The sequence below is a fragment of the Homo sapiens genome, chromosome 8 (assembly GCF_000001405.40).
Source record: "Homo sapiens chromosome 8, GRCh38.p14 Primary Assembly".
NCBI lineage: Eukaryota > Metazoa > Chordata > Mammalia > Primates > Hominidae > Homo > Homo sapiens.
The window spans coordinates 17,555,889-17,571,334 of NC_000008.11; the positions used below are offsets into that span (position 1 = coordinate 17,555,889).

General features: G+C 39.9%; 1 protein-coding gene across 12 annotated transcripts in view; it reads left to right on the plus strand.

The window, feature by feature from the left end:
• Positions 1–14,678, plus strand: part of SLC7A2 (solute carrier family 7 member 2) — a 76,498-nt gene extending 61,820 nt beyond the window's left edge. For all 12 annotated transcript variants that reach the window (XM_047422113.1, XM_047422114.1, XM_017013746.2 and 9 more), the window contains 5 exons: positions 2,407–2,509; positions 4,440–4,645; positions 6,056–6,222; positions 7,715–7,823; positions 9,062–14,678. In XM_047422113.1, the coding sequence (XP_047278069.1) occupies positions 2,407–2,509; positions 4,440–4,645; positions 6,056–6,222; positions 7,715–7,823; positions 9,062–9,258 (782 nt within the window). In that variant the 3' untranslated portion in view covers positions 9,259–14,678. The remainder of the gene's footprint in view (positions 1–2,406; positions 2,510–4,439; positions 4,646–6,055; positions 6,223–7,714; positions 7,824–9,061) is intronic.

Genomic DNA, 15,446 nt, shown 5'->3' on the forward strand with positions numbered 1-15,446 from the left:
TTTGCAAGCTTTATACATAAAATAATGAACAATCTTGGCACTATAAATTCAAACCAAAATGACAATTTCGTTGAGGCTCTGAATTGTTAGGAAATTAGCTTAGAAAAAGCTAGTGCTTCATTCTGTGTAAAATGGAATTTTTTTCAGGGTCAGAATGTATTTGTTTAAACACTTTCACTTTGTAAACATTTTCTTATAAATCTGGCCCTTTCTTAAACTATGTTAGAAGGTCAAGTCACTTATTTTCTCAGGCTTAGATTTCTGCCCCCCTAAAATGAAGGTTTGCCCAGATGATGTGAAGCCCATTTTATTTTTAAACAACACATGATATTAAAGGTAGTTTATAAATATTTTTTGACAAAGAGTCATACGTTTTATTTAACTCATAAAAAATTTTCTCTTTCCGGTAAAATACTTGCCAGTAATGATGCAGAATTTTTAAAAGCTTATCTTTCTCTATTCAGGAAGAATTTAATTTGGTGGCATGTTAAGATATTAAAATTAATAATTAAAAGAAGATAATTATAATAGACCACTTTTTAAAATGCTCTAAAATATTTTTGTGATTTTGTACTCCCATACCTTACTTTGCTTGTTCTTAACTTGGATCAGAGCGCTTGTGTGGACAACTTATCATTTTCTTCTCTCTTGGCTACCTTATTTGGCTCTCTGTGATTTTTAAGCATACCAAAATTGTAATAATCTGACGTATATGAGCAATGAAGAATTTTTTTTTTTGAGATAGGGTGTCACTCTGTCACCCAGGCTGGAGTGTAGTGGCACGATCTTGGCTCGTTGCAACCTCCACCTCCCGAGTTCAAGCAATTCTCCTGCCTCAGCCTCCTGAGTAGCTCTGATTACAGTCACGTGCCACCACGCCCAGCTGATTTTTGTATTTTTAGTAGAGATGGGGTTTCACCATGTTGGCCAAGCTGGTCTCAACCTCCTGACCTCAGGTGATCTGCCCGGCCCCGCCTCCCAAACTGCAGGGATTACAGGTGTGAACCTCTGTGCCCAGCAAAGAATTTTCAAAGTGAGGCACGCAGTGTGTTAAAAGAAACACTGTGATCTTGTAGAAGGAACATGGGGCTGTTGGATAAGGGGAACTCTGCCCCGACGGGTAGTCGTGGCCTTGCTAAGTTAGCCTATCTCTAAGATGGGGATAATTCTGTTAGAAAAACCACTCACAATTGCTGAGTTTGGGGTCAAAAATTGTCAAATCCAGCCATTTTATATGCCTAAACATAAATGATTTCCCTTCTCATAGGATCATTGACTCAAAGGTAAAATGAGATCACAGAGATTTAAATCTTGTAGAGGGATCTGAAACATCATATAAATGGAATGTGATGTTATCTACTTACTATGACACAGAAAACTATATGCTAAATTCAAGTTAATATTGTCACTATTTTGATGTTTCAGTGGAGAAAACAGTTGCTTAGTGGAAGTTAAGCTATTTAACTGTTTAAAGTATGTTTTGTCTCTTAGTATTTTGGGATTTGGTATGCAGGACCAGAAACTGATCTCTCAGATCTAGTAAGTCTACCTGGAATGCATGGCTTTAATCGTAGTAGAATTTAGTCTGTTTCATAAACATAATTTAATTGAAAGTTATTTTACTTTATTTTATCAGAATTACTAAAATAATTCTGAGTCAGGCCGGGCACTGTGACTCACACCTGTAATCCCAGCATCTTGGGAGGCCGAGGCCAGTGGATCACTTGAGGCCAGTTCGAGACCAGCCTGACCAACATGGTGAAACCCTGCCCCTACGAAAAATACAAAAATTAGCCAGGTGTGGTGGCGCACGCCTGTAGTCCCAGCTACTCGGCAGGCTGAGATATGACAATCGCTTGGACCAGGGGGGTGGAGATTGCAGTAAGCCGAGATCGCACCACTGCACTCCACCCTGGGTGACAAAGTGAGCCCTGTCTCAAAAAAGAAAAAAAGAATTGAGTTGTCTATAACTCAGTGCATATGGAAACTAAAGTGGTTATATAATATCTATAATGAAAGCACCTTCTGTTTGAATGTTTTTTTGTGGTTTTAAAAAAGGAGCTAGCCAGTATTTCCTAGCAGTGTTTTTCTTCTGAAATATCAATGACAGTGTTCTGTCATGTAATGTTTTCACTCTTTGTCAGGCCAAATATTTTTTATGTAATCCAAGTAGAATGCGCCTTGGATAGTTGCCAGAGAGCTGAGGGTTTTTGAAGTCCTATCAGCAGTTTATATGACCTAAAGAACATCTTATTAACTGTGAGAGATATATTTTCTACACTCTGGTTGACTTATCCTTGGTACTAAAACGAAGTGGCAGTCAGATGTCCCTGACTTGAACGTTAGTAACTGTATGGAATTTCCTCCTGGGCCGTTTACTTCACCGTTCTTTTCTTCTCCCCCTAGCTTTGATGGCCTTTCTGTTTGACCTGAAGGCGCTTGTGGACATGATGTCCATTGGCACACTCATGGCCTACTCTCTGGTGGCAGCCTGTGTTCTCATCCTCAGGTGAGTCACCTGGTGGTTCTACAGGGTGTACCATGCACGAGGGACTCTGGGAGTGAGAAAATGAGCCCTCACTCTCCTGGCTTCCAGGGAGCCAGCAGTCTCACCAAGGTGAGAGGTCACATCTAACAAAATAGCAATGAAAAGTGGAAGAAGCGTATCTGGTCTTTAGCAAAGAATCAAATGCAAGTTGACCATGAGTGATAGGTTGGCCTGATCTACATGAAAGGCAATTTCTCATAATGTCTAACGACACTTAAAAATGCTGTGCTTTTTGTTCCATTGATTCAGTTGTAAAAATTTTTGTGCTAAAGATTTAATCAGAGGCACACACAGATGTATGTAAAGGATGTTTCTGGAAAAGGTAATTTACAATAGTGAAAAAATGAAACTAACCTGAATATCACTAGAGGAGTGGTTAAATAAATGAGGCTACATTTGTTCACTGAACTCTTCTACAGCAAATAAAATGGTATTAATTTTATGGAGAAATATATCCATTTCAGGATATAAAACTATAGTTATATATAGTGTCTGAACTTATTTAAATAATAAATTTTCATGAAGAAATCATATATGCCGATATAGACATTATATGCCTGGATGAAATTGTACCAAAGTGCTAACAGTGATTAACACTGGCTGATGGTATTATGGCTGGTTTTGAATTTCTCCTGTATACTTTCATGTATTTTTTCTCAGTGAGCCTATTTCTTTATATGGAGGGAAAATATTATTTTCAAGGATAAGTAAAGGCTGCCAAGAAGGAGAAGAGGCTGCACTGAAAAGCCTGGGGCAGACACTAGGAGGAGAAGCAGGCTTGTATTAGTCCATTCTCGTGCTGCTAATAAAGACATACCCAAGACTGGGTAATTTATCAAGGAAAGAAGTTTAATTGACTCACAGTTCCACAGGGCTGGAGAGGCCTCAGGAAACTTAAAATCTTGGTGGAAGGGGAAGCAAACATGTCCTTCTTCACATGCTGCCAGGAAGGAGAAGTGCTGAGCAAAAGGGGGAAAAGCCCCTTAGGGCATGGTGGTGGGCACCTGTTGTCCTAGCTACTCAGGAGGCTGAGGCAGGAGAATCACTTGAACCCAGGAGGCAGAGGTTGCAGTGAGCTGAGATCACGCCACTGGACTCCAGCCTGGGCAACAAGAGCGAAACTCTGTCTCAAAAAAAAACATAACAAAACGAAAGAAGAAAAACCATCAGATCTCATGAGAACTCACTTGCTATCATGAGAACAGCATGAGGGTAACCACTCCATGATGAAATTAGCTCCCACTGGGTCCCTTCCACGGCACGTGGGGATTATGGGAACTACAATTCAAGGTGAGATTTGGGTGGGGACACAGCCAAACCATATCACGGCTGATGTCTTGATATAAGCTATACAGGAGGAGGATAAAATAATAAAGGAAAATGACATGCAATGGGTGTAGAAGTGGCAGGATGGTCAGATGAGCTTGTCTGGGTTTAGCTAGAAGAATCGGTAGGGAAGGATGAGGCCAGAAAGACAGATTGTGATGAGGCCTTTGAATGCCAAACTGGTGACTGCATTATTTTATAGCTGAAATTTACCCAGAGCTTCTGTGCTGTTTTCATGAACCGCATTTCCTTTGGACATAGGTAATTTCAGAATAATCATTCTTTTTTCATGATTGCCTTACTTTACAATTTCACTTTCTTGTGCCATCTATTGTATGACTCTGATTTGGTGACTACTGGGGGAAATTGGGGTATTTTGCTGCAGTTGTTTTATCGGAAAGGTTTGTGTCCTGGCTCAGCATGCTCTGGGACTGGAGTCATAAGTGTTGATTTACTCTACACACTATCACTCTGTATGATGTCTTACTTAAGGTTTTAGGTGCTGGTTTCACTTGGGCCAAATGTCTATTTGAGAATAAAGACATAGATGTTTGTTTGGAAATAGGTACCAGCCTGGCTTATCTTACGACCAGCCCAAATGTTCTCCTGAGAAAGATGGTCTGGGATCGTCTCCCAGGGTAACCTCGAAGAGTGAGTCCCAGGTCACCATGCTGCAGAGACAGGGCTTCAGCATGCGGACCCTCTTCTGCCCCTCCCTTCTGCCAACACAGCAGTCAGCTTCTCTCGTGAGCTTTCTGGTAGGATTCCTAGGTAAGTCTTCTTCTCTGCTTACATTGTACAGACCCAGAAGATGTGTGTGAGTAGAGCTGGCATGATATGAAAGAGAAAAGAGGGCCTAACATTGCCCTAGAATATATTAGCAACCACCCTGAAATTTTCACCTAAAGCATCACCAGTGGTTGAGATCATCTTTATATTACCTGTATAAATTTATTGTATCTTGATAATTGAACAAAAGAGGAAGGAATACTTCAAGACGAGAGTGACAGAAATACAAACTGGCACATTCATTAGAGGTTAGGATGCCCTCTGGGTGAAAGCATCAGGCCACGTACCCCTGCCAATAACCTGACTGGAACCCGATGGAATTGTCCAATAATATAGAAAATCCTTGTTTGTTTACCCACAGTTACGTAATCATTCATTCATATTTTCAATGACATTTATTGAACATTGCGTGTGTGTCAGGCACTCCACTGGGCACCTGGGATGCCAAGAGAGACGGTCCGTACTCTCACTGGCCTTTACAGGACAGGATAATTGGTGGCAAGTAGGGAAGCACAGGCTTCTCAGAGCAAATAGGAGTTGCCCCTAGAGCAGACTTGATGGTCAGAGATGGGGTGGTGATGTCATTCTCTAAAACAAGGAGAAAAGATGCAGATGATATATTATTTTTGCACATTAGCAGTCTGTATTAGTCTGTTCTCACACTGCTAGTAAAGACATACCCAAGACTGGGTAAATTATAAAGAAAAAGGTTTAATGGGCTTACAGTTCCACGTGGTTAGGGAGGCCTCACAGTCATGGTGGAAGGCGAAAGGCACATCTTAACATGGCAGCAGGGAAGAGAATGGTAACCAAGCAAAAGGGGTTTCTCCTTAGAAAACCATCAGATCTCGCTAGACTTATTCACTGCCATGAGAACAGTGTGGGGGAAACCGCTTACTGTTCAATTATCTTGCACTGGGTTCCTCCCATAACACATGGAAATTATGGGAGCCACAATTCAAAATGAGATTTGGGTGGGGACACAGCCAACTCATATCACAGTCCATGTTTACGACAGCTTAAAATAACCAGATGTGCCATTTCCCATTTGAAAAAAGGGAAGTATCCAACCCCGACAGCATTCTAGTCTGAAAGTAACCAGTGAGGACACAGATGGCACGTGGGCAGATAATGCCAGTGAGTAACACTAGGAGGGGCGGTTGGTTCTAAGGAGGGGAGAGTAATGAGTAAATAAGCAATGGTTCTTAAATCCCTGCAACTGGACATCTCTCTCCTCAATGAAAAAGAAGAAAGGGCAAGGCGAAGACTCTTTGTATTTAGCCAAGTAGATGTGTACAGAAGTCAGTGTTTTATCAGAATATGCTGTTTTGCACCAAGCAATCTGGGTGGAGCACAGTGTGCTGACTCTGTTATCTACACATCCCCCTGCAGCTTTCCTCGTGTTGGGCCTGAGTGTCTTGACCACTTACGGAGTTCATGCCATCACCAGGCTGGAGGCCTGGAGCCTCGCTCTCCTCGCGCTGTTTCTTGTTCTCTTCGTTGCCATCGTTCTCACCATCTGGAGGCAGCCCCAGAATCAGCAAAAAGTAGCCTTCATGGTATGTGTAATGAGGATTAGAGACCCAAAATACTGTATTCATTTTCTCTGTATAATTAGTTTGGTAAGTATTTTTTTTTTTTTTTTTTTTTTTTTTTTTTTTTTTGGAGATGGAATCTCTCTCTTTGTCACTCAGGCTGGAGTGCAATGGAGCGAAGTGATCTTGGCTCACTGCAACTTTTGCCTCCCGGGTTCAAGCACTTCTCCTGCCTCGGACTCCCCAGTAGCTGGATCACAGGTGCACGCCACCACACTCAGCTAATGTTTGTATTTTTAGAAGACATGGGATTTCACCATGTTAGCCAGGATGGTCTCGAACTCCTGACCTCAAATAATCCACCCACCTCTGCCTCCAAAAGTGCTGGGATTATATGTGTGAGCCACCGTGCCCTGCTTATTTTTGTATTTTTCTGGTGATAGGGTTTTGCTACATTGGCCAGGCCAGTCTCAAACTCCTGACCTCAGGTGATCCACCTGCCTCAACAACTTCTAATGTGGTTAGCCAGTGAATGAGAGTGTCAGAATCCTTCGATATGTTCCTTTTTGTACAGAATTCCTTCTACATTGGTCCTCTTACTGCCTTTTCAAACACTTGGGTATGTTCCTATCACAATATTATTATATATGATAGTAAACAAATTTCATGTTAAAGAAGCTATAATATCAAAAAAGTAGGGTGAGTATTTTGTTTTTAGAAATTCACTGCCTTCTCATGAGAACTTTGTTCCTACCAAAAGCCTTTCCTCTTGGGCTGGGTGTGGTGCCTCACACCTGTAATCCCAGCACTTTGAAAGGCCAAGGCAGGAGGATTGCTTGAGGCCAGGAGTTCAAGTGTAGCCTGGGCAACATAGCGAGACCCCATCTCTACAAAACAAACAAACAAATTAGCTGCGTGTAGTGGCTCATTCCTGTAGTCCTAGCTAGTCAGGAGGCTGAAGTGGGAGGATCACTGGAACCCAGGAGTTCAAGGCTGCAGTGAGCTATCATAGTATCACTGCACTCTAGCTTGGGTGACAGAGTGAGACACTGTCTCTAAAAATAAAATAAAACTAAATTGAACATTAAAAAGATAAGCTCCTCCACTGCAAGTTAAACTATCCTGTCCCATTTGAGCTAACCGTATACTGGCTTGGGTTTGAAGAGGGCTTCCTGGGAGGATGTACCTGGGATAACCATATGTATCCCACATTTCAGAGGTCTCCCCTTTGTGTGTCTAAATGAAATCAGTAAACCCCAAAGAAAGCTAAATCCTAAAACCAATATTATTTTGATTGTGCAGGTGTTACTGAATCTGATAAATCCCCTGGTGCCTTGAGCTTTAGTAAATACTCTAAGATGTGATTCTCCTTTTATGGTCTCTAGAAGCGTGGTTTTAACTGTGATTGACGTGGTGTGAAAGTATATATGCCAAATTAATTGCCACCCTGTTGAAATAACTTGGGGAATATGCTTCAAAATATGAGTATGTTCAAAAGGATTGTTTTCCCCCTCAGGTTCCATTCTTACCATTTTTGCCAGCGTTCAGCATCTTGGTGAACATTTACTTGATGGTCCAGTTAAGTGCAGACACTTGGGTCAGATTCAGCATTTGGATGGCAATTGGTAGGTCTTTTAATGTCGGGTTCTCTTTCCTATTTCATGTGCTGTGATGAGAGAAACATGCCCTCTCCCCCATCCTGGGAATAAAGGCTTTTTTTTCCCGCTTCTTTCTTTCCTAATTCTTAGGGATGTCCGAGTGCTTTTCCAGATGTTTTCAGATGCCTTTTTAAGTCAGTATCTCCCACTAACCCTGTAGAACCATGTAGGCTCTATTTCCTTCTACTTATGGGTGAAAAAAATGAAACCCAGAAAAAGTCATTTTATATCAACCCAAAACTCACAACCAATTTTCTAAAATAGAACTAAAACAGCAAAATGCCTACATGTCTGCAGTGATCTTAGGAGGGTACTTAAAACGTTGCCTCCTGATCCCCACACAGTCAGTGTGGCTGTTAATAAACAGTTGCTTTGCATACAGTTCTTCGGACTCTCCTGGTGACAGTGACACGTGTAAAGCATGTCCGTGTCCTCTTTGTTAATACAGAGTGTACTTTGCAAAATATCTGATCTTGACTCTGATAACTCACCACTTGTATTTAGGGTATAATTTGAGACTTTATTCCACATATCATTTTGTTTAAAGTACAGTATTGACTTCTAAGAACATCAATTAAAATTTTTCCATATAAACATTGAAAAACTTGTTGAGAGCAAAATACAGTCTATAAAGTTTGGGTCTTCACAATAGAGAGGCACATTCTACCAGGAAAATATTGATCAAGGACACCTTCTGTGGGGTATCTTACATTTGCATTTCATTCTTCTAAAGCAGCGGTCCCCAACCTTTTTGGCACCAGGGACGGGTTTTGTGGAAGACAGTTTTTCCATGGACAGGGTGGGGGATGGTTTGGGGATGAAACTATTCCACCTCAGATCATCAGGCATTAGTTAGATTCTCATAAGGAGCATGGAACCTAGATCCCTCACGTGTGCAGTCCCTTCTGTGAGAATCTAATGCTGCCCTGCTCTGACAGGAGGCAGAGCTCAGGTGGTAATGTTCACAATGGGGAGTGGCTGTAAATACACTGTAAATACTAGAGACTGCTTGCTCACTTCCTGTTGTGTGGCCTGGTTCCTAACAATAGTGGTCTGTGGCCCAGGGGTTGGTGACCCCCGTTCTAAAGTACTACAGAAAGGAAAGAGACAAACTCTATTAAGTTCTACATTTTCCACCTCAATAACTTAAAAGTCATTTTCTGACATACCTGAAACATTGATTTTTTTTTTTCCTGCCCCAACAGGCTTCCTGATTTACTTTTCTTATGGCATTAGACACAGCCTGGAGGGTCATCTGAGAGATGAAAACAATGAAGAAGATGCTTATCCAGACAACGTTCATGCAGCAGCAGAAGAAAAATCTGCCATTCAAGCAAATGACCATCACCCAAGAAATCTCAGTTCACCTTTCATATTCCATGAAAAGACAAGTGAATTCTAACACTTGCAGGAGCAGAGCTGGTCATCGTCTTAGCATACATATCCTACACTGAGTAAACCGTAACGGGATGTCATCAGCATGCTGGGTTGTCATGGGTTTGCTGCATACATAGTTCACCCTAATTTATACTTACTCATCTGGACAGCATCTCCTCAGATGGTGAATTATGTGCACGGGGAAACCTCCTGAGTGGAAGTTTCATTCATCAGTGATGAATAGCCCCCAAACAGTGGGAGTGTGTATGTATGTGTGTATGTATGTATCTATGTATATGCTTGGGAACATGAGTGTTACAAGTTAGCTGGTGTTTTACTATTATTGTGTTACATTTTTCCAGTGTCGTCATTAATCGGTGGCATATACTGCACATACTGAAATAGAGGGAAATCACTGAATGTAAAGAGGTTTCATCTATGCCCCCTGCAGTTGGGGAAATACTAGTAGCTTTACCTTGTTTGACTTCATTAATGTCAGTTTAGGGGATGCCAAAAATGCAGTTACTCATCATGGTGTCTGTCACTGGTTAGGGGTAAGATGAGGGGATAAGGAAAGAGACTTTTCAATAAGTTGTGAATGCCAACAGTGGGTTTAATGCAAATTTTTTTTCCTGTGAGGTATGACAGTTTGCTCAAACTTCAGCCAACAGGGGTGTCTGCTTCTGCTGCACTACACAGGCCAGGAGTGGCATTCCATGCCACTAGTTGGCATCCTTTTGAACTTTTGTCTCCTTTGCAAACAGTGGTCCTAAAATACGAGGTCTTCACTTGCTGTGAATGACGTATCCCCAGTCAGGGACTTAAGAGAGGCACTGTGATATACTTGGGACCCTTTAAATTAAAAAGTGAAGATAGTCACCAGGGCCAGAAAGCTCATGGAGTGGCCGTAATGAGAATATGTTTGAAGATCAAAGAGTTAGACCAATGCTTGAATAAGTAGACCCCAAGCATCCTTTTCTAAAAAGTGACTTAAAATAAGCCAACAGACTCTCCCAGACCACACAACTAGTGGAATGATTCCTCCTTTTTCCATTACTTACTTAATCACAGTTTAGTTTTTTTCTTAACCTCGTCAGGCCCAGAGTTCACTTCTTTGTTTCTCTGTTTCTTTTGTCTTGTCTTAGAGATGAGGGGGCTACAGCAGCATCATGCAAAGAGGGAAAGATGAAGGGATAGAAGAAGAGAAAATCCCCCTGTTCTGATAGGAACGGCCTGTTCCATTGTTAAATGGCAAATGGCCCAATTTAAGGGCTTTGGATCTAATTTGCCTCTGATGTTTCCTTTGGAAACATTTAGGAATATTTTTCTCCCCCTACCCCATAAATTGTGTAGCACTTTTTATTCCATTTGCTTTCAAATGACTACACTAAGCCTAATAATACAAGCTCCAGTGTTATACAATAACCCATCAGTGATTGGGGAATCAAACATTTTGGTTTAAAAAACATGATTATTTAAAACTGGAAACTAAAAAGAATCAAATTGAATTAAAGCTATATAAACACAGTTAACCCTTGTAAATGAGTAAACAAATTTTTACATGTAAGATTCTCTAATTGTCATATTTTACTTTTTAGGATTCCCTAATAGTGGACTGTTTATTTGCAGTGTATTTGCTTCTCATGAACTATTTCTCGTACAAATCATTAAATAGTTCATTGGATGAGGCTGGGTGACATTTCCCAGGACAGCATGGTGAACATTACCAGGCATGCTAGCTGGCCCGTGTAATCCCAAGACAAGGAAAACATTCGTTTTCCTCATGGGTCTTCCAAGAAATGAGCTATTTTATTGATGCCATTAAAAAGCAAGTTGCGATGGTTTTGTATAGCCAGGAGTTTATTGTGATTAAACATCAAAGAAACAGGTAGAAAGCCTGGGTTTCTGGCTGCTAGCGTTATAGCATCCATGACACAGAACTCATTACGGACATTCCACAACTTCCAGGGTGCACATGGTAAAATCTGAAGCCCAGAATTTTCTCTCAAGCTGCGTGGTTTACTGGAGAGAAGGAGTTGGATAAGCACAGGCTCGGGTATTTTGGTAGGGACTGTAGGCATGCTCATAAATCCTTGCTGTTGTCACAGTACGCTGAAAACCCGTTTGATTCTATACCCAATCAAGAATAGACCCTTCACACAGGAAATGTGAACAATTGTTATATATGAACACTCAAATCTTTTACTGTAACGAAACCAAGAAACTTGTTTAGAATGTGATAGGCAGCTAAAACTGTTATGCCCACTGTGCTCAATTTGAAGCAGAATTTAGTGAAAAATTATTTTTCCACATTGAAACACTTTGCAGACACAAATATCTATGAAAAGATGCTTTGTCAGCCACTGTGCCTTTTTTTCTGTGAAGACTCAACGGATGTGTGTGTTTGTATGTTTGTTAACAGTTACATATGTTTGTATGAGTGTATATATATATCTGTGTGTGTGTATCTCTAACGTCAGTGTATAAGTAAGTTGGGTTTATGGTGGGCTTTGACTATGTCATTAGGTGGGTACAAAACCCAACTGATGTGGAGAAAAATTGATGTTTGATGTTGATAGATATGCTTATACCTAATTTTTAGTTTTTAAACTATTTTAAAATATACTATGATTTTATATGTATATTTCCTATAGACTCTTTAAGACGTATTTATAATGTTTCTAATATGAAATCACTAAACTCTAGTACATTATAGCAGGTGCTTTGTAATCTGGAATGGAGAAGAGGTAGGGGCATTTGGGGATTCCTGTTTACTTGCTGCTGCCACACCTTTTCCGACTGATCTGTCCTGGTAGGTGTTTATTAGCAAAAGTCAGTATCACCAGCTCTTTGGCACCTTTCTGTTTCTGCTTGTGAATTCATAATGTTTTCAACTAAATTTTTTTTTTCTTTCTCAGAATTACCTAAATGTTTTGTAGAGTTTTGACTAGTAATCAATCAAAATTATATAAAGTCTTCTCCAGTAATTAAGAAATACATATGCAAATTCTTTTGTGATTGAGTAAAAGCAGCTTAAATTACTTTTCTTTTCTACATTAAGAAATATATTCTCAACATTTTCAGTGAGAATTTCTTGTAATGGCACCTCAAATTTTATACTCTTAAAAAAAAACAATAATTTGTGAATTACCACCAAAAGGCAATGGCAGTCCTACATTTAAGAATAGAGCTATGCAAACTCTGTTAAAAACTATGAGGAAAACTTATATTAGAACTTTTGATATATACTAAAATACTGATTATCTTAATCACATTTTCCCCAGAGATAAACATTGAGAGAACGAAAGCCAAAGTGTCATTTAAGAGAGATATATATGAAAAAGTAACATTAATATATAGAACTTTACCATCACCAGCCGTAGTTGATAGAAAATATTAGTTTCAGAATTACCCTCCTTTAAAAAATAAGAGACTATTTGTTTTCTTTTAATTTCTATGAATAAAAGAAATTTTTAAAAACTTTAAAATTTTAAATATTAGTCAAAATACTTTTTAAGTCCTGAGTGCTTACAGGTAGTTGTTAAAAAAATTTTAAGGCCAGGCATGGTGGCTCGCTCACACCTATAATCCTAGGATCTTGGGAGGTCGAGGCAAGCTGATCGCTTGAGCCCAGGAGTTTAAGACCGGCCTGAGTAGCATAGCAAGACCCTGTCTCTACAAAAAAAACAAAAATTAGCTGGGCATGGTGGCATGCACATGTAGTCAGAGCTACTGGGGGTGCTGAGGTGGGAGGATCGCTTGAGCCCAGGAGAGTGAGGCTGCAGTGAGCTGAGATTACGCCACTGCACTCTAGCCTGGGCAACGGTGAGACCCTGCCTCAAAAAAAATAAAAATAAAAATAAAACACTTTAATTAGAATCTATTTTTACCTATTTTCTAAATTTATTTAAATGCTTAGCAGGAAGCATAAGGAAAAGCCATCGGCCTCCAATACCCATGATGACAGAGGGAGCACTTGAGCCTTGCCTTCCCTCCTCTTAAATCAGGGTGTGTTCCGAGATTACAGAACATCACACCTTGGCGTGATGAAATCATGCCAAGATTCTGACTCTCCCTTTCCGGTGATACTGCTCATGATTTCTCCTAATACGCTTCAAGCAACTGTTACCACAAAAAATACAGTTTCCGCAGGGCTTTAAAGGATTGAGTTTAGCATGTATATCATGCGTTATTAAAGTTCACGTGATTCATGTGAAATTAACTGTCCTTTTTGCTAGTGCCAAAACAGTGCCTTCTCTGCACACTTTACTTGTTTATAAAGTTCTCCCACATGTCCTTAAATATCAAGGGGGAAAGTATGGATATTCGCGTAGCAATAATGCCAGCAAAGGTCATTTTCATTTTTTAGTCATATAGATATGAAAATAAGTTCATATAGATATGAAATTGCTTGACTTTATTGTTTTGGGGAGATTTTTTTTCCTTACATGATTATATTAAACACTTTAAAATAGCCTTCCGGTTTCTGGATTTTGAGAAGCCTGATCTGTTATTGTTGTGGTTGTTGGTGTTTGTAATATTCATTATTGTTTGTATATACACGGTTTAGTCTTACTGATTTCAAATGCATTTTGTTATTGCTCAACCCAACTGGTAACACTGTTTGCTGGGAGCATTATACTTAACTTTGATTCACCATGGTTGATGCCACTGCCATGATCGCTGGGTCTTAAAGAGCTTTCCCTAGCCACTGACAGCCCCGTGGAGATCATAATCAGGGCCCCAGGCTGGTTCCAGGATCAGGCAGCCTATAGAGTGTGAGCATCTATGTGTAGCTACCCTTGTTGGGTGGGCTCTTAGACTGATGGGGTAGGATATGAAGTGAAAGACTTCAAATGCAAGTAAGGTAGTTTGGGCTCCTTAATTCCAAACATCCCATGAGTATATCAAGATGAATAAGGACCAAGGGACCTCTGTGACTCATAGAAGGGCTGGCTGAATCCTGAAGTAGCATAGTGGGACCTGGTCTACAATTTATGCACATGCACTGACAGCCTTGCTGTGCCACGTGTCTCACCAAGACCCAGTTGGGAAAGAGCGTCATATTGCCAACAGGTTGGGTTTCTCTGGCCTACACCTGATTAATGGGCCCTTTATCTTTGGTGTCCCCTAGGAGTGTCCAGTTGTTTTATTGCTGTATTTTGTTATTGCAGTACTTAATAAAAATTGTTGATAGGGCCCAAAACCCTACAGAAATTCTATGTCTGTAAAAACCAACAAAGGCATTGGACTTGTGTGAATGTACAGGGTTTTTTTAGTAGTAATTTTAAATTTAAATGTTTTAAGTGATCATCAGTGTTCCTTTTTACTTATAAAGTTGGATTCTTTTTTAGAATTTGTAATAAATAAAAACTGCTGCTTTACCACTGTAAAATATGCTTTCTGATGTGGTGTATTTTTAAAATAAATTTTAATATGTAATAATATAGAATGCAGATGTTACCCATACCAAAAGCACACATTTCATACTTACCTAAATTAAACTCCTTATTTATTTGGAAATCTTTAAAGCTCAGAAATATAAGCAATCTACATTGAAACAATTGAAGAATACTAAGCTGGCAGCCTAAGGCCTGCTGTATGACTGACTACCAAGTCCTGTGAGATGAAAGAGATGTCTTCACATATCCTCAATACTCATGGCACATTCCAAAAAATACCAGTTGCTCTTGAAGCATGCTACCCCAGAGTCACACATCTGGGATCCTATCACTACGACTGCCATTCACTTTGACATTGCTTTGATCTGTAAGAAGTTCATCAATGTTCTTTCCACCAATCATAGCCTTTAATCATTGGTGATCAGTTGTATGTCCACTAGGATACTTTTAAGTATGGTGAATGATTATCAACTTTTTACTCTTTGATAGGGAGGGAGAATTCAATGCGGATTTTTAAAATGTTTCTAAATTGCTTAAAATTACACATCTCTTGAGTTAGCTTGTTTAATTTTGAAACATATTTGTGTATGCAGTTCCTATTGTTTCTAGTAAATTGGAGGGAACATGTTGAATTTTAAAAACTTTACTATCAATTTAGAAAGCATTAAAAACCAAGCTAAAAAAGCAAACTACTTGCCAAGTAGAAGCCTCAAACAATTTAGTTTTTGTGTGATTAGGGTTGCTGTGAGGTAGTGGTGCCCTACCTCTCTGTTTTGTCACCATGGGATCACATGAAATAATCCCCCAGTAG